Below are 19,025 nucleotides of genomic sequence, written 5' to 3'. Positions count from 1 at the left end.
GAGCGAGACTCTGTCTAAAAAAAGTAACATGTAACAAAACATACCCAGTAAATGACATGGAAAAACTACTGGGAATAAGGAATAATACTGGCAGCATATGACAAAGAGCATCTTCTTAAATATGTAAACCAGTAAGAAAATGAAAAATATATCATAAAAAAGATATATGCACCTGTTAGATGAACATTCTATTTCTTCTTTATTTGTATTTTCAGCATTTCATTATAATAAACTTACTTTGTAGTAAGAAAAAAACCCGTTATAGCAAAGATGTGAAAATATTTGATGGCGTGGAAAAATGTTCACGTTTTTAGATTCAAATCAAGTCACAAAACAACAAACAATATGATTTCACTCTTAGGTATATAAATATTTATAGAGAAAAGACTAAAGGGCACTCACCAATTTTCTACAATGAGATGTATCACTTCGTAATAAAAAATAATTTTATAATAACATTGGTATCACATGTCTATGATACTGTGAAAAAGGAACTTGTGACTAAAATTTATGGTATGATTCTAATTTTTATAAAAAGTTATGTATGCAAAGAAAGCAGTCTGGAATACAGTGATTATTACCCTACACTGGGGAGAAGGTGTGTGAGCTTTCACTTTTTACTTTATAATACTTTTGGAATGTAAGAATCTTATTACTAAAATTACTTGTATAATTAAAAAATATGCAGATCTGTAAAACATAAAATAAGCAAAGGGCCTAAAACAAATTCATGATTGAAAGCATTAAAAATCTTCTCTTTGCCAAGCCATAGCAAGAAACTCTCCTTTGAACAAGAATTAAAACATTAGTACTCTCTCAGATAATTTATAACATGGAAAACCGGCAACAGTCTCTTTCCACTTGTTCTCCCTCACCCCTTCAACTGCAAAACAACTATAAACAAATAAAAATTAAAAATCTTATACACCTTATCTGAAACTGGGAAAAAGTATGTAAGGAAAATTATATCCACATCCACTGAAATCTATCATAAGCCACAAAATTGATGGAAACTGGTGAAAAAATCATGAAAAGGAATGAAGAAAAGAAAAATCAGGCTGGGCACAGGGGCTCACACCTGTAATCCCAGCACTCTGGGAGGCCCAGGCGGGTGGATCACCTGAGGTCAGTAGTTCGAGACCAGCCTGGCCAACATGGTGAAATCCCATCTCTACTGAAAATACAAAAAATTAGCCAGGCGTGGTGGTGGACGCCTATAATCCCAGCTACTTGTGAGGCTGAGGCAAGAGAGTTGCTTTAACCCAGGAGGCAGAGGTTGCAGTCAGCTGAGATGGCGCCACTACATTCCAGCCTGGGCAACAAGAGTGAAACTCTGTCTCAAAAAAAACAAAAAACAAAAAACAAAAACAAAAACAAACAACACGAAAAATCCAATATAGGAGGAAAAAACTAGTTCTTCACTTTTTATTGCATTAACCTGGATGAAAATATTGCTACAGTATGATATGGTAAGCACCGTACTACTACCATGCCCAGCTAATTTTCTGTATTTTTGGTAGAGATGCGGTTTCACCACATTGGCCAGGCTGGTCTCGAACTCCTGACCTCAAGTGATCCGCCCACCTTGGTCTCCCAAAGTGCTGGAATTACAGGCGTGAGCCACTGCAGCAGGCAACAGTATATGATTTCTAACAAAGAACATGAAACAGTATGTGTGTACATTTTGCTCACTTGATTTTTCAATATAAATAAGCAAATATGAAATTAGGTACTGAGAAATGTACAGTTTATCTTAAAATAGTGATTTTAATTATTGGCTTTACAGGATGAAAATAGCCAAACCTCATAACCAACAGAAGTATTGTGTGCATTCTGGTTTCCACGACTCAAAGAAAAAGTGGTATCAGAGAAGATCCCCTCAAAAAGTAACTAATCAGGGACATAAGAGATGAAAGAAAAAGATTATTACCCCAACAGTAGATAGATAAAGACTGAGAAAAGAAATGGTCAAAGTCTTCAAGAGCTCAAATTACATGGATAAAATAAAGAATTCTTCATCAAATTCTAGAAGATCTTAGTTTTAGGAACTGAGCTTTTAGATGGCAATAAGCTTATGAAATTCATTCTTTAAAATTCCAAAATCAAAACCCTGCAAAGAATGAAATAAGTCTTCTACTCTGATATTCTAGCCAATGTAGGGTGTGCTATGGATGGGATCCTTGAGAGATATCACACAGAAACAAGGCACTCACTGCACTCTGTGAGCAATACGAATGACTTTTCTTAGTTTAAACCACTAAATGTTGGGGTGATTTGTTACTCAGTAATACACAACTGGAATACTCTTTGTTCTAAAAATAACCCCAAAACATAGAAAACAGAAATGAGAACTCAATCTTTGATGAAGTTAGCATTAATAAATGAGGACAGGACAAACAGAAGAAAAGATTATACCTGAGAGCGTACAGGTGAGGGATATGTAAGAGAAGCAAAATACTTTGCCCCACAAAACTCCAAAAGAGCTCTTCAGCAGAACTGCCAGAAGAGGCTGGCATAGGTCTGAAAACAAGGAGAATGCAAAAGACTCCCAGGTCCCATCCCTACTCAGCACAGCCAGGCAAGTCTCTCTCCCATATCAGTGGGAGACATAGTCTCTAGACAAAAGTGAATGTTCTGGGCTCAGGACATACTTGTGCTTGTGTTTGTGTAGGTATTCACAGATAGAACAGAAAGTGAGTTGAGCAACAGTCCACATACTAAATGGAGATCTCTAACCACTCTTCCCCAGTCTAGCTTTAGTGTGTCAGCAGCAAGGCTGATACAGATGTTCCTTGACTTACAACGGGTGACGTGTCTTAACCCCTTCGTACTGAATATATCGTAAATCAAAAATGCATTGAATACATCTAACCTACCAAACATCATAGCTTAGCCTAGCCTCCCTTAGACATGCTCAGAAGACTTACATTAGCCCATAGTTGGGCAAAATTACAGTACACTGCAGAGTATGGACGTTTACCCTCATGATCACCTGGCTGACTGGGAGCTGTGGCTCACTGCTGCTACTTGGCATTGTGTGAGAGTATGGTACCACATATCGCTGGCTGGGGAAAAGATCAAAATCCAAAATTCGACCTATGGTTTGTACTGAATGTGTATCAATTTCATACCATTGTAAAGGTGAACAATCATAAGTCAAACCACTGTAAGTTAGGGACTGTCTGCATTGCCTAGGCAAGAAATTGAAGGATCCATCATGGAGAAACTGAACTATCCCCAAGAAAAGATCAATAGACACTGATACATGGAGGTTCTCAGTAAATATTAAGCCTGGATGCCACTTGACTGTACAATAGGGAAGCCTCACCATCACTACACCTGGCCTGTACGCACATAGCTTCCACTTAGCTTTTAAGTGCCTTATTCTTTTTTTTTTTTTTTTGAGACAGAGTCTCGCTCTCACCCAGGCTGGAGTGCAGTGGTGCGATCTCGGCTCACTGCAAGCTCCACCTCCCAGGTTCACACCATTCTCCTGCCTCAGCCTCCCAAGTAGCTGGGACTACAGGCGCCCGCTACCATGCCCAGCTAATTTTTTTTTGTATTTTTAGTAGAGATGGGGTTTCACTGTGTTAGCCAGGATGGTCTCAATCTCCTGACCTCATGATCCGCCTGCCTCTGCCTCCCAAAGTGCTGGGATTACAGGCTGAGCCACTGCGCCCGGCCTTAAGTGCCTTATTCTTATATAAACATACAAATAAGGATTATCAGGCTTTGAGGAAAGCCTCGAACTCCAAATTGAACAAACAGAAAAGACGATGCCTGAAAAATACATACAAATTGCTTTTTGAAAATAAATATGTTAACAGCAGAAAAACATTTCGATATAAGACTTAGAAGATAAACTTGGGAAATCTCATAGATAGTAAAATGAGATAAATATTAGAAGCAAAAAGGTTTAAAAAATTAAAAGGATGGGCATAGGAGGCCTAACATTGAAGCAACTAGAATTCCAGGAAGCAAGAACAGAGACTAAAGAGGGAAAACTCACATAAAAAATACAAGAACATTTCCCCAAACTAAGGAACAAGTTTTCTGAGCACCTATCAGAGTACACTTTATTTGTTTTTTTGTTTTGTTTTGTTTTGTTTTGTTTTGTTTTGTTTTGTTTTGAGACGGAGTCTTGCTGTGTCGCCCAGGCTGGAGTGCAGTGGCATGATCTTGGCTCACCGCAACCTCTGCCTCCAGGGTTCACGCGATTCTCCTGTCTCAGCCTCCCAAGCAGCTGGGACTACAGGCGCATACGACCACACCCAGCTAATTTGTTTATATTTTTAGTAGAGATGGGGTTTCACCATGTTGGCCAGGCTGGTCTTGAACTCCTGACCGTAGGTGATCCACCCACCTCGGCCTCCCAAAGTGCTGGGATTACAGGCGTGAGCCACTGTGCCAAGCTCAGAATACATTTTAAAAAGACTGTACCTCAGATAATGAACCTAAAAGCTTCTAGAGAGGAAAAAAAAAAAAAGTAGACTGCTTATAAAGAGGACTCAGAAGGGCATCGGTCCTCTGGATACCAATTACAGAAACTTGAAGACAATTGAACAATGCCTTCCAAATTCTAAGTATAAAAAGTGATTTTCAACCCACAATCCTATATTCAGTTAATTAATTGTGAATGAAGAACATGCTAGTTTAGAATGTATGGTATCACATTTTCCATTTACTCACCCTTTCACAGAAAGCTACAGCAGAATATGTTCAAGCAAAACGAAGGTGTAAATTAAGAAAGAGGAAGACAAGAAATCTAAACCAAGACAGAAGCAACTGTGCAGAAGGGCAACTGAACAGCAAGTCCAGAATGGAGTGGGAGCATGGAGGGCTCCAGAGAGATGACTTCATGAAAAAAAATGGAATTGATATAATCTTATTTGTGTTACCGAGTGGAAAGTGGTATCATGAGATGTTTTTACAGGGCTGTTGGAGGGGAGAGAAGGCAAGCCAGAGATGTAAAGACTATGCAAATTTGAAAATGTTAATTCTAAGAAAAAAAGGTTTAAAAACAAAAGGAGAAATAATCATAGTACATTAGTTGACTTATGAGAGAACAACTCTCATACCCATTTGGAATCCAAGTCATAGCAAAAAAATGTATAGCTGCAAGCCACCTTATATTTATTCCACTTCAACTTGCTGATTTCATATAGATAAAAAAAGAATTTTAGAGATGTTAAATGACATACATTAGTTAGTGCCATAACTCAAAGAACTATCAGTTGTCACAAGTCTCACCCATCTGCTTCTGTGGACAGACTGGTTTCAGTAATCGGAATATACCAGTAATGCTGGCATTCTGAGTTTTTGTTCTACCTATAAGTATGTGAAATTTGGGAAGTAACAACTAAATCTACTGTTTTCTATAAAGTTAGAAGAATGGTACCTTTCCAAACTCCCTCAGAGTTAACACAAGGGTCATATTAAATACTGGATTTTTAAAATGTTAAAAATAATTTTAAAAGTTTATATTTGTAATAATTATTAGCATTAATATAAGCATTATGATGTCATGAGAGGCATAATATTTGGTTGGCAGATAAGGCAAAGCAGATACCAGGGCAATTTGCTCTTTCCACAAAGAGCAGATATTCATGGCTCTTTATTTCATTTGGTTTATATTTGGCTATTCTAAATTCATATTTGAAAGTTTTGTATTTAATTAAAAACTATAACCATACTTGGTTGAATTTTATTTCATAATGCTTCTTGTTTTTTTTTAGGTGGGGTCTTGCTCTGTTGCCCAGGGTAGAGTACAGTAGTGCAAATGCAGCTCACTGCAGCCTCCACCTTCTGGGCTCAAGCAATGCTCCTGTTTTAGCCTCCCAAGTAGCAGGGACTACAGGAATGCACCACCCTATACAGCTAATTTTTCATTTTTTGTAGAGATGAGATCTTGCCATGTTGCCCAGGCCGGTCTTGAATTTCTGGCCTCAAGCAATCCTCCTGTTTCAGCCTCCCAAAGTTCTCGGTAATAATGCATTTTTAAAAAGCCTATCTGACTTGAAGATGGAGATTCAATCTTTCAACAAGGTTTTTAGGAATTTTCCTGAAAACAAAACACTCTGTTGAGATAACTGAGATAGAGGCTGATACACAGATTGTGATTAGGTCAAAAAGCCTCAACCAATTATGTTACTGCTTGCCTAGGCCTAGCATTTAATATTTTTCTGTTTTGAAAGTTTACCTTGCTCATCTTGAGGACACTGTCTAGAATACTCCAGGGCATTCATTAATCTGACTGAGGCAAAGGCAAGTCTGAACTGCTGAATAGTTTGAACTGTTAAATATTATTCAAAAAGAAAGTTCAGGCCAGGTGTGGTGGCTCACGCCTATAATCCCAGCATTTTGGGAGGCCAGGGTGGGAGGATCACTTGAGCCCAGGAGTTTGAGGCCAGCCTGGGCAACATAGTGGGACCCTGTCTCTACAACAAATAAAAATTAGCTGGCCATAGTGGTATATACCTGTAGTCCCAGCTACTTGAGAGATTGAGGCTGGGGAATAACTTTGTGTTTTTTGAGATACTCCCATTCTGTCACCCAGGCTGGAGTGCAGTGGCACAATCAGGGCTCACTGCAATCTTTGCCTCCCAGGCTCAAGTGATCCTCCCAACTCAGCCTCCCAAGTAGCTAGGACTACAAGCATACGCCACTAGGCCCAGCTAAGCTTTTTAAAAAATTTTTTGTAGGCCGGGCGTGGTGGCTCACGCCTGTAATCCCAGCACTTTGGGAGGCCAAGGCGGGTGGATTGCGAGGTCAGGAGATCAAGACCATCCTGGCTAACATGGTGAAACCCCGTCTCTACTAAACAAAATACAAAATGTTAGCCAGGCGTGGTGGCAGGCGCCTGTAGTCCCAGCTACTCGGGAGGCTGAGGCAGGACAATGGCGTGAACCCAGAAGGTGGAGCTTGTAGTGAGCCGAGATCAGGCCACTGCACGCCAGCCTTGGCGACAGAGCGAGACTCCATCTCAAAAAAAAAAAAAAAAAATTTTTTTTGTAGAGACAAGGTCTCACTATTGCCCAGGCTGATCTCAAACTCCTAGGTTCAAGTGATCTGCCCACCTCAGCCTCTCAAAGTGCTGGGATTACAGGCATGAGCTACCACCCCCGGCTGGAGCCTAAGAGTTTGAAGCTGCAGTAAGCTATGTTTATATAAGAGTTTGAAGCTGCAGTAAGCTATGTTTCTATCACTGCACTCCAGCCTGAGTGACAGAGTGAGACCCTAAATCAAAAACAAACTAACAAAACAAAACAAAGAAAAGGAAGAAAGAAGCAAAGAAAGAAAAAGTTCTACTATTACTATTGTCATATATACTACTACATATTGCTTACTAGTTTAAAGTTTTAGTAACTACTTAAGAATTTGATATAATTCATGTATTTCCCTAGCAAACATTTCAGCAGCTCTGCACACTATGTGGAATACAGAATGAAGCTGCTTTCAAGGGAGGAAAGGGCCACTATAGATATAGCCATAAAATAAGATTTCTTTCTTTCTTTCTTTCTTTTTTTTTTTTAGAGAGAGGGCCTGTTGCTTAGGCCAGAGTACAGTGGGATGATCATAGCTCACTTGCAGCCTCAAACTCCTGCGCTTATGCAATCCTCCTGCCTCGGGTTCTCAAAGTGCTGGGATTACAGGAGTGAGCCACCACATCTGTCCTTTGATGTTATGTTTAACAATTAATTCAGAAGTTCTATTATTTTGGACTCAGAGCAGCAGTCTGCTTGGTAATACCTCTAAACAAATAATGGAGAAAGTAAGTTTCAGCTCCTTAACATCATTGGCAACATTAATTTACCCTGGTTTCTGACAAGGTGTTTTAGTGTATTAAGAGTTGTCTTATTGCATTTTTCTATTCTAAGATCAAGATTATCTTTTATATTTTGACCTTTCTAAATATTCTATCTCAAGCAATATTTTTCTTTCTTTTTTTTTTTTTTACTTTAGCAGTTTTCTTCTTCAGAGTAACTACTAACAATTTTACCTTAATAGCCTCTTTAGGAAGAAGTAAAGTGTTCTATTTTCTATCCCCACTGTTCTTACTTGTGCAGACTCTGCATGTTCCAGCATCTCTTCAAATTCCTGATACTCTTCATCATCTGGTTCAGCACCTGAGAGGCGAGCTGCTCTGGCCATGAAATATGGAGGCAGCTCTCCGATTGCTGTACCGATACCCTAGGTGAAAAACCAAAATACTTACAATGAGGTTCTGTTATCAACAGTGACACTTAATAGATCAAACCCATACTCTTCTATATCACCAGAAGCATTTTGAGATGCAATATATTGGGGGAAAGCATATGCTACATAATCAAAATAATAAAAGTTTGAATCCTGGCTCTAATTCTGACCTATCTGATGCTTGGCAAGCATCACATAAAACCCTTAAGACAAGCCAGGCACAGTGGGCACGCACCTGTAGCCATAGCTACTCAGGATGCTGAGGCAGGAAGATCACCTGAGCCCAGGAGTTTGAGGCCAGCCTGGGCAACATTCTGAGATTCCTGTCTATGAAAAAAAAAAAAATCTTGAGACAACACCTGGCTCATTGTAGACACTAAGTAAATTTTAGTTCTCTAGAATCTCTACTTAGACTCTGTTATTTTTATCATTTGCCCCCCCCCACCGCTTCTGATATCTAAATGATCTGGTAATAAGAATTCACCAGTGGCTGGGCATGGTGGCTCACGCCTGTAATCCCAGCACTTTGGGAGGGCGAGGCGGGCGGATCCCGAGGTCAAGAGATCGAGACCATCCTGGCCAATAGGGTGAAACCCCATCTCTACTAAAAATACAAAAATTAGCTGAGTGTGGTGGCACGCACTTGCAGTCCCAGATACTCTGGAGGCTGAGGCAGGAAAATTGCTTGAACCTGGGAGGCGGAGGTTGCAGGGAGCTGAGATCGCACCACTACACTCCAGCCTGGCAACAGAGCAAGACTCTGTCTCAAAAAAAAAAAAAAAAAAAAAAAAAAAAAAGAATTCACCAGTATATGTGTTAGATAAAAATTCTCTAGGAAATCCTCTGGAACTTCAGAAGTTGCTTTAATTTAAATACAACTTTTCTTCTGTTGAGTTAAAACTTTTAACAAATTGTAGTCAGAAAGCCCTTTGAAAACTAAACATTAGGATGAATAAGTTTTCTTTTTCTTTTTTTTTTTGAGATGAAGTCTCACTCTGTCACGAAGGCTGGAGTGCAATGGCACGATCTCGGCTCACCACAACCTCTGCCTCCCAAGTTCAAGCAATTCTCCTGCCTCAGCCTCCCTACTAGCTGGGACTACAGGTGTGTGCCACCACGTCTGGCTAATTTTTGTATTTTTAGTAGAGTCAGAGTTTCACTATGTTGGCCAGGCTGGTCTCGAACTCCTGACTTTAGGTGATTCACCCGCCTCGGCCTCCCAAAGTGCTGGGATTACAGGTGTGAGCCACCACGCCCAGCCAAGCTCTGCTAGTTCTTAAAAAGCAATGTTAAGCATTTCAGTTTGCTCTGTCTTATGGTTCTGCCTCCAAATGCTCTGAAAAGAATTCCCAAGGGACCAAATCAAATTCAAATATTTTGTATTCACAATGGGTGGAACCAACAATTTCCACGTGTAACTACATTATCCATACTTGAAACAAGAATTTTGAAAAAGAGTCCAGGCACAGTGGCTCACGCCTGGAATCCCAGCACTTTGGGAGGCCGAGGTGGGTGAACTGCCTGAGCTCAGGAGTTTGAGACCAGCCTCGGCAACATGGCGAAACCCCAACTCTACTAAAATACAAAAAATTAGCTGGGCATGGTGGTGCGTGACTGTAGTCCCAGCTACCTGGGAGGCTGAGGCATGAGAACTGCTTGAACCTGGGAGGTAGAGGTTGCAGCAAGCTTATGGGTGACAAAGCGAGACTCTATCTCCAAAAAAAAAGAAAAAAGAGAAAAAGAATACTTAACTGCCAAAAGATTAAGCCTACATTTAGTCAAAAAACAGACAGAGAAGGCAGGAGAGACATATATACATGGATATAGGCAAAAACCAAATCATATATATTGCTAAATAAGAAAAGTTGGTCAGACGTCATGGCTCGCACCTATCATCCCAGAACTTTGGGAGGCTGAGGCAGGTGTATTGCTTATGTACATGAGCTCAAGAACAGCCTGGGCAACATAATGAGGCTGTCTCTACAAAAAATTATGCACTTGTGGTCCCAGTTACTTGGGAGGCTGAGGTAGGAGGATCACCTGGGCCCAGGAGGTCAAGGCTGCCATGAGCTGTGATCATGCTACTACACTCCAGCTTGGGTGACAGGTGAGACTCTGTCTCAAAAAAAAAAAAAAAAAAACCAAAAAAACCAAAAAACACTGTAATGTTGGCCAACTTTGGAGGATGCTAGAGAACCAACTTATTATTTTAAAAACTGGTATAATAAAGATCAAGTATTTATCTTTTTCTGATATAAACTATATCTCGGGGTAACTAAATTAGTGACAAGGAAAAGTTTTCCTTCATCAAAGTATTATTTCAGACCCAGTACAGTGGCTCATGCCTGTAATCCCAGCAGTTTAAAACCGGCCTGGGCAACACAGCAAAACCCTGCCTCTACAAAAAATTAGCTTGGCATGGTAGCTTGTGCCTTTAGTCCCAGCTATTCAGGAGGCTGAGGTGGGAGGATTGTTTAAGCCTGGGAGGTCAAGGCTGCAGTGAGCTGTGATTGTGCCACTGCACTCCAGCCTGGTGACAGAGTGAGACCCTGTCTCCAGTTAATAATTCAAAAAAAAAAAAGGTGTAATGTAACTGGGATACTAATATTTTATAACCTCTAATAAAATAATGGACATATATAATAAAAAATCATCCATGGTGCTAATATCACAAAAAGGAAGGACAAACAGACATTGTATCTCGTGATAGAAATACACAAGGCTATGGAGTGTATTCCTATTTACAAAAAAAAAAAACACAATTTATCAACTCAAAGGAAACACAAGGAACAGAGCAACATGCTTAAATTATACTAATTAGAATTTAGTCAGTAAAATTCAGACCATGGGAAATTATTTAACAGTTTCTTCAGCATAAATGTGAAAAGAAATAAAATCCCAGCACTTTGGGAGACTGAGGCAGGAGGATCACTAGGTAAGGAGTTTGAGACCAGTCTGACCAACATTGTGAAACCCCATGTCTACTAAAAATACAAAAAATTAGCCGGGTATGGTGGTGTGCGCCTATAATCCCAGCTACTCGGGAGGCTGAGGCAGGAGAATTGTGGGAATACGAGAGGAGGTTGCAGTGAAATGAGATTGTGCCATTGCACTCCAGCCTGGGTGACAGTGCAAGATCCCACCTCAGAAAAAAAAAAAAAGAAATAAACGTAATCAGAAAAATTTGAACACTAATTGGATAATGAATTTTAAGAGACTACTACAGTTTCTTTTAGGTGTGATAATGCATTTTAGGCCCCAAGGCTGATATATTTACAGATGATGTGTATTATGATATCTGGGATCAGCTTCAAGATAATTGAGAAGAGAATGAGAAAGGGTATAGATACAACAATATAAACTATTAGTTAATACTAGCTGAACTTGAGTGAGAGTATATTAAATTCATTTTATAATTCTCTGCACCTTTGGAAAATCTTCCATAGAAAAAAGTAGGACAGAAAGTGTAACATCTTACTCAAAACATGAACTTCTCCTAAGTTCAAATGTTAAGTCAAATGTTCAACAGTTCTTAAAGCAATCATGTGATTGAAGCTCATGACAAATTTCCTAAAAGTTAAGAAGGAAGTAACATAATGGACTGAAATGAAATCAAGGGCTGTATACTGTCTTATACGTAGTTGACTATATTTACTGTTATATTTTAGTTTAATTCTCCTAGTGTTTTCCCATATTAGCAAGAAACAATGGGAATCATGAGTCAGTACTCTCTTATTATGCAAATAAATAACAAGGGAATTTAGTCATCCAGGCAGGTGTCCCAAAACACATTATACCCTAGACACAGACATTTATTTATCTCAAATTAGATACTGAAGTCTCATCATTTCATAATCCTTACAATTTTATGATTCTCTATAAAATTCAAATATATATTTGTATAAGATACAAAATTCTTTACATTTGTTTATATTCAAAACAAAACATAAATTGTGGAACACTGAAAACTGTCAGCCTAAGTTTAATTAAGGAGAGAGAATGACTGGCTTCCTTACTGCAAAATAAGTGGTATGTACAGTCAAGCAATAATTCAGAAAGCTCTCCTCCAAACCATCTACTACATACAAATTTATTACCCTTAAATCCTTCTTAAACTAGAGAAGAGTTTAATATGCACAAAATATGCAAACCAACTGATAACACAGCATCTTCTTGGAGTGCTAATTTTATTCAAAGATTCATTCAAAGATTTATTCAAAGACAAAAATTCTGAATTTGTACTTTTAAAAAGTTTTGTCAGGTGAGGTAGGGAAAAAACATTTTGTCAAGTGAACTCACAAGCAAATCTGCAGCAAGGTGCTTTTATATTAAGAAATGTAAGTTTAATGATAAAAATCTGGAGAGCAGGAATTAAAAAAATCTATCTTTTTCACCAAGAAACCCTGTCTCTACTAAAAATACAAAAAAATTAGCTGGGCATGGTGGCGCATGCCTGTAATCCTAGCTACTCAGGAGGCTGAGTCAGAATCACTTGAACCTGGGAGGCGGAGGTTGCAGTGAGTGAGATTGTGCCATTGCACTCCACCCTGGGCAACAAGAGCGAAACTCTGTCTTTAAAAAAAAAAAAAAAAAGTTTTCATTTTATTTATTTATTTATATTTTTTTGGAGACAGAGTCTCACCCTGTTGCCCAGGCTGAAGTGCAGTGGCACAATCTTGGCTCACTGCAACCTCTGCCTCCCGGGTTCAAGCAATTCTCCCACCTCAGCGTCCTGAGTAGCTGGGATTACAGACCTGCGCCACTACACCCGGATAATTTTTGTATTTTTGGTAGAGATGAACTTTCACCACGTTGGCCAGGCTGGTCTTGAACACCTGACCTCAAGTGAGCCGCCTGCCTCAGGCTCCCAAGTAGCTGGGACTACAGGGGCCTGTCATCATGCCCAGCTAATTTTTTTTTTGTATTTTTAGTACAGACAGCATTTCACTATCTTGGCCAGGCTGGTCTTGAACTTCTGACCTCATGCTCTGCCTGCCTTGGCCTCCCAAAGTGCTGAGATTACAGGCGTGAGCCACCGCGCCCGGTGAATTAATTCTTATATATGGTGTAAGGTAAGGGTCCAACTTCATTCTTTTGCATGTGGATATTCAGTTTTTACAGCATCCCCCTTGTTTTTTTTTCTTTGAGATGGAGAGTTGCTCTGTCGCCCAGGCTGGAGTGCAATGGTGTGATCTCAGCTCACTGCAACCTCCACCTCCTGGGTTCAAGCGATTCTCCTGCCTCAGCATCCCGAGTAGCAGTGACTACAGGCACCCACCACCATGCCCAGCTAAGTTTTATATTTTCAGTAGAGATGGGGTTTCACCATGTTGGTCCGGCTGGTCTCGAACTCCTGACCTCAGGTGATCCACCTGCCTTGGCCTCCCAAAGTGCTGGGATTACAGGTGTGAGCCACTACACCCAGTCCCCAGCACCATTTGTTGAAGACTGTCCTTGTAAATGTTGAGAACAATATTAACAAATTTAAACATAACTTAGTGTGTGCTGTATTTTTAATATAACGAGACAGTTACAAAGAAGGAAAGAAGAGCAAACATTTGACCTATTAATCAGTATTTATTGACATTCCTATACTACATGGAAAACTTTTTCAAAAAAATTAATTAATTTTTTTTTTGAGATGGAGTCTCGCTGTGTTGCACAGGCTGAAGTGCAGAGGTGCAATCTTGGCTCACTGCAACCTCTGCCTCCCGGGTTGAAGTGATTCTCCTACCTCAGCCTCCCAAGTCACTGAGAATACAGGTGTGAGCCACCATGCCCAGCTAATTTTTTGTATTTTTAGTAGAGATGGGGTTTCACCATGTTGGCCAGGCTGGTCTCAAATCCACCTACCTCGGCCTCCCATAGTGCTAGGATTATAGGAGTGAGCCACCATGCCCAGCCCTATGTGCAAAACTTAATGCTGATTACTATGATGCTAATACTTTTAAGGTATATTTAATATTTTTTAGGATCCTAAATATTATTTGGGGAAGAAAGCCACCATACCAGCCAAATTAACTAATTTAAAGCATGTGTAAAGCCAGGCCTAATAAGCACTACAGACAATATATACTACAGAAATTTGGAGGAGGCAGTTATCACAGCCAGCCGAGATAGTGGTTTTCATTTGTTGGCCTTAAGGTTAATCCAGCAATGTAAATAATTTTTGAAGAACAAAAGTATAATATTAAGAAAAAAAGACAAATTTACATACAAAGTCCCTTTTCTAGCATGTTCCAAGTATCTTCTGTTATTCTAACATTTTTTTCATCAAAAGACTAATGTCATCAAATTTATAAAGCATATGCAACTAGTATAATAAATTTGTTTCCAGTGTTTATAAAAGAGCAACAGGAAACATGACAATTTTTCCTGTCTTTCATATTCAACAAATTCAACATGATGGTATTTCCTTTATAATTCTTTTAAAGCAGAACACAATTGCTAACACTTAACTGTGTTTCAAAACTCTGCTTCTCCTGAGGGTATGGTATTCATGCTCATTTTAATGAGTTAAGATTTGTAAGTGATCTGTTCCATAATCTTTAATTTCCTAAGAAATTGTTAGTGGGAAAAAATTACAGGAACATAACAAATCCCAATGAGTTAAAAAAAAAAAAACCTCAAATGGTAAAAGAAATCTTTAACCCATGAATTATTCCTACGGATGCCTGAATAAATTTAGGCATACAGGGCTGGGTGAGGTGGCTCACGCCTGGTGGATCACCTGAAGTCAGGAGTTCGAGACCAGCCTGCCCAACATGGAGAAATCCCGTCTCTACTAAAAATACAAAAAAATCAGCCGAGCGTGGTGGCGGGTGCCTGTAATCCCAGCTACTGGGGAGGCTGAGGCAGGAGAATTGCTTGAACCTGGGAGACAGAGGTTGCAGTGAGCCGAGATTGCGCTACCACACTTTAGCCCGGGCGACAGAGCAAGACTGTCTCAAAAAAAAAGCAAAAAAAAAAATTTAGGCACACAAAAAAAATTGTGTGGATTAGAATCCATCTGCCACTTAACATGCTGTCCAAAGAATTTTGTAAAATAAACTTAAGCAAACCACAAAAAGAATAACTGGAACAACTGAAAGTAAAATTGCCATATACGATCATACAGCCTGATACGTTCACTATAATAAGGCTTGGTTTATATTAAGAAATGTCTGACCTTACTTTAGTTAGCATTATAATAACTCAGAAAATGAAATGAGTTCTCTAAGAACATAATATTTTCTTGTTGTTGTTGAGATGTAGTCTCGCTCTGTAGCCCAGGCTGGAGAGCGGTGGCGGGTCTCGGTTCACTGCAACCCCTACTTCCTGGGTTCAAGCAATTCTCATGCCTCAGCATCCCCAGTAGCTGAGATGACAGGTATGCGCCACCACGCCCGGCTAATCTGTGTATTTTTAGTAGAGGCAGGGTTTCACCATGTTGACCAGGCTGATCTCGAACTCCTGGCCTCAAGTGATCTGCCTGCCTTGGCCGCCCAAAGTGCTGAGATTACAGGGATGGCCACCAGGCCCAGCCAGAGCACAGTATTTTAATCTAAAAGTAAGACATACGGGAGGATCACTTGAGCCCAGGAGGTTGAAGCTGCAATGAGCCGAGATGGCGCCATTGCACTCCAGCCTGGGCAACAGAGCAAGGCCCTGTCTCAGTAAATAAATATATAAATAAATAAATGCATACATACATATACACACACACAATTTTTATTTGCCAAATAAATAAAAGTAAAATTTTAAATTAAAAAAAGTAAGACATATGACATTTACCAATCTAATATTTATATATAACTATATATTACCAATCTAATATTTATATATATTTTATATAACTCTTAGATAAATTCTAAAAGTTTATCAGGTATAGAAATACTAGAACAAATTTTATAATGTAGTATACAGTTGACCCTTGAACAACATGGATTTGAACTGTGCCAGTACAAGTGATAATGGGTGTGCCTCTCATGGCTCCCCATCTACCTCCTCCACCTCCTTTGCCTGTGCCACCCCTAAGACAGCAAGACCAACCCCTTCTTTCCCTCCGCCTCCTCCTCAGCCTCAGCCTCTTCAACATGAAAATGGAGTGGAAATGATGATCCGTTTCCACTTAATTAATAATAAATATATTTCCTTTCCCTTATAATTTTCTTTGTAATATGGTATACAATACTGTATTAACACATACAAAATATGTGTTAATCTACTATTTATCATTAAGGCTTCCGTTCAACAGTAGGCTATTAGCAGTTAAGTTTTTGGGGAGTCAAAAGTTATATGTGGATTTCCTACTGCACAGGGGGTTGGCACCCCTAACCCACACATGGTTCAAGGCTCAACTGTGGTTCCATCATCTGTACTCCCTTGCCCTGCTGGAGTCTACTTGGCCTCAGTTGCTTTGTGATACATATGGTTCATGCCTTTCTTCTCAATGCCATTCATGAATAGGAGATGCTCTAAAAGGTTTCTTTTGCCTTGGAAGTAGGTAGCTGGTTACTGACTGAATCATTTACTGACAAGGAATATGTTTAGATTCCATTTCAATAAGGTACACACACTATCAAGATGGTGAGGTTAGTTTTAAACAAATATGAAAATGCATATCTTACCCACATGCAGGCTTCAATCCTAACTTTTGAGATGATACTCCACAAAGAAATGGTTCCTTCAGTGCCCTCTTCATCTGGACAAATAATCTGATCAGGATAGGGTGGTTCGGGAAAATTAACTGAATTGCATTCATAAGCAGCTAATGTAACTGAGGCTATATGTGGACCCTATAAAACAAATACAAGAAACTTCTGATAAGAACTATTAAAAAATTATCAATACACATTATTTTAAAAATATATTAATTACTGTGTAAGAAAAATCTTAGCTTTCAAAGAACAAAAATAATTCTAAATAATTTCAAGATGCAGTTAGTAATATGAAGAAAATAATCCTTCCCAGAATCTCTTCCTGGTTGACTTAAAAAAAAATCAGATTTATTGAGGTAAAATTTACACATAATGAGTCACTTATTTGAGGTCTACATTTCAATTAGCTTTGACGAACATATTCAGCCATATAACCACACCAATCAAGATACAGAACATTTCCATTACTGCAAAAATGATCCCTTGGCCAGGCACAGCAGCTCATGCCTGTATTCCCACCACTTTGGGCGGCTGAGCCAGGATGACTGCTTGAAGCCAGGAGTTCAAGACCAGCCTGGGCTACAAAGCAAGACCTCATCTCTACAAAAATTTAAAAAATTAGCCATGCATTGTGGCATGTGCCTGTAGTCCCAGCTACTCAGGAGGTAGGAGGCATTGCTTGAGCCCAGGTGTTGGAGGCTGTAGTGGGCTATGATTGTGCCACTGCACTCCAGTCTGGACAACGGAACAAGGCCCCATCCCTTATAAAAAAAAATCCCTTGTGTTCCTCTGTGGCCAATTCCCTCCCTCAAGTCCTAGTCCCCGGCAACCACTGATCTAATTCCTTGCTTGACTTTTATTTTATTTATCTATATTTCTCATTTGTTAGATAATTCCTTTTATTAAAAAAAACTTCCTGAGCCACTGTTCTTTTAGGCACAATTTGAGAATATCACTTTACGTCCTTACTTAAAAACAGCTGGTGATCTACCACCTCATGTAACCTTTCCCAGTGAGATCATAAAGCAAAAATGTAACTGTGAAACCAGTATCAATGAGTTTTACACAATGGTTCCTAAAAGCACAAGATGAGGTGTCTGCATACTAGGGAGTTGGTTAAAATATAAATTCCTGGGTCCCTTAAGCATAGGTTGATAGATGTCCTCTAGCATACAGTAACTAGCAGCCATCAGCTATTATGAAGATAAATACTTTATTTGTAGAATAAAATTATTTACATATATATACACGAGATTTTATTACTAATTATATTGTGCAAGTATTTCTGAATCTGAAGGTTTCTATTAAAGATTTCTCCAATGATTTTTCATAAATGAGACAGTCCCACAGAAAAGTAAGTGGGCTCTGTGTATAAGAAAGTATTTTAAGATCACTTGATGAAAGAATCTGTGGTTCAAAGTACATAAAATCTAGTGATAAAAATAAAACTAAGACATTCTACTATCAAGATAATAAAATTTTGTTTGATGTTAATATACAAAGTTGTTCACACATATGTGATATTTATCTCTAAATAGAATCGGCATTTTCTGTTAAAATAATACCTAAAAAATGAAATCCTTGGAACTGAATCAGTTAATTATTAGTTTTTTCTGGATCAAAAAAATCGATGTGAAGTTTTAGCCTTTGTTCCTCTTTTTGGGGACTTTTAATTCTTGGAAATGCAGAAATATTAAAGTATTAAAATAATTATATAAGATTTTGAAAATACTTTGACTACTTAGGTTTTTGAAAACTTATGATTAACCATGAAATCTACAATCATTTCTTTAAATGCCAGGTGCACACAAGAGATTTCACACTTGGGGGAAAAAAGAATTATTTTGTGATACTACAAAAAAACCCCAAAGTTTGTGATATTCAGAATAACTGCATAGTTTGTGAAACATTTCTCCTCATACAATTATAGCTATCAGACATAATTAAAAAAAAAAGAAGAAATCAGCTGTAACTTCCACCTTTACTATTAGAAAACACAAAAGAGACATATGAATGCCAATAAGTGAAAAAGAAGAAAATTTAAGAGTTTGTCCATGCTGTCCCCATGTTACTGTCCTCTTTGGCTACAGGTAGTCTACAGCTAAAGTTAGAAATGAATTTCAAGTGAACAAAAATAAATTGCTCTGGGAGCTAAAATAATGAGATTTCTGGGATAGATAGGAAAGAAAA

At 38.9% G+C, this 19,025-nt stretch overlaps 1 protein-coding gene across 10 annotated transcripts in view, besides 1 other annotated feature; it reads right to left on the bottom strand.

Annotated features, from left to right (window-relative positions):
- VMP1 (vacuole membrane protein 1) overlaps positions 1–19,025 on the bottom strand; it is a 134,602-nt gene that overhangs the window by 60,312 nt on the left and 55,265 nt on the right. For 8 of the 10 annotated variants that reach the window (NM_001329394.2, NM_001329395.2, NM_030938.5 and 5 more), the window contains 2 exons: positions 16,806–16,973; positions 8,059–8,190 (listed from right to left, as the gene is read on the bottom strand). In NM_001329394.2, the coding sequence (NP_001316323.1) occupies positions 8,059–8,190; positions 16,806–16,973 (300 nt within the window). The remainder of the gene's footprint in view (positions 1–8,058; positions 8,191–16,805; positions 16,974–19,025) is intronic. The other 2 variants (NM_001329397.2, NM_001329401.2) reach the window with 1 other exon arrangement.
- Positions 13,127–13,628: an enhancer, noted in NCBI's record as "H3K27ac hESC enhancer chr17:57845677-57846178 (GRCh37/hg19 assembly coordinates)". NCBI's record gives its function as "activates a minimal SCP1, AML or CMV promoter by ChIP-STARR-seq in naive H9 embryonic stem cells {active_cell/tissue: H9 hESC(naive)}" and the evidence as "EXISTENCE:reporter gene assay evidence [ECO:0000049][PMID:30033119]".

This window comes from Homo sapiens, chromosome 17 (genome assembly GCF_000001405.40).
Source record: "Homo sapiens chromosome 17, GRCh38.p14 Primary Assembly".
NCBI classification, from domain to species: Eukaryota; Metazoa; Chordata; class Mammalia; order Primates; family Hominidae; genus Homo; species Homo sapiens.
This window is presented reverse-complemented; position numbering and strand designations above follow the sequence as displayed.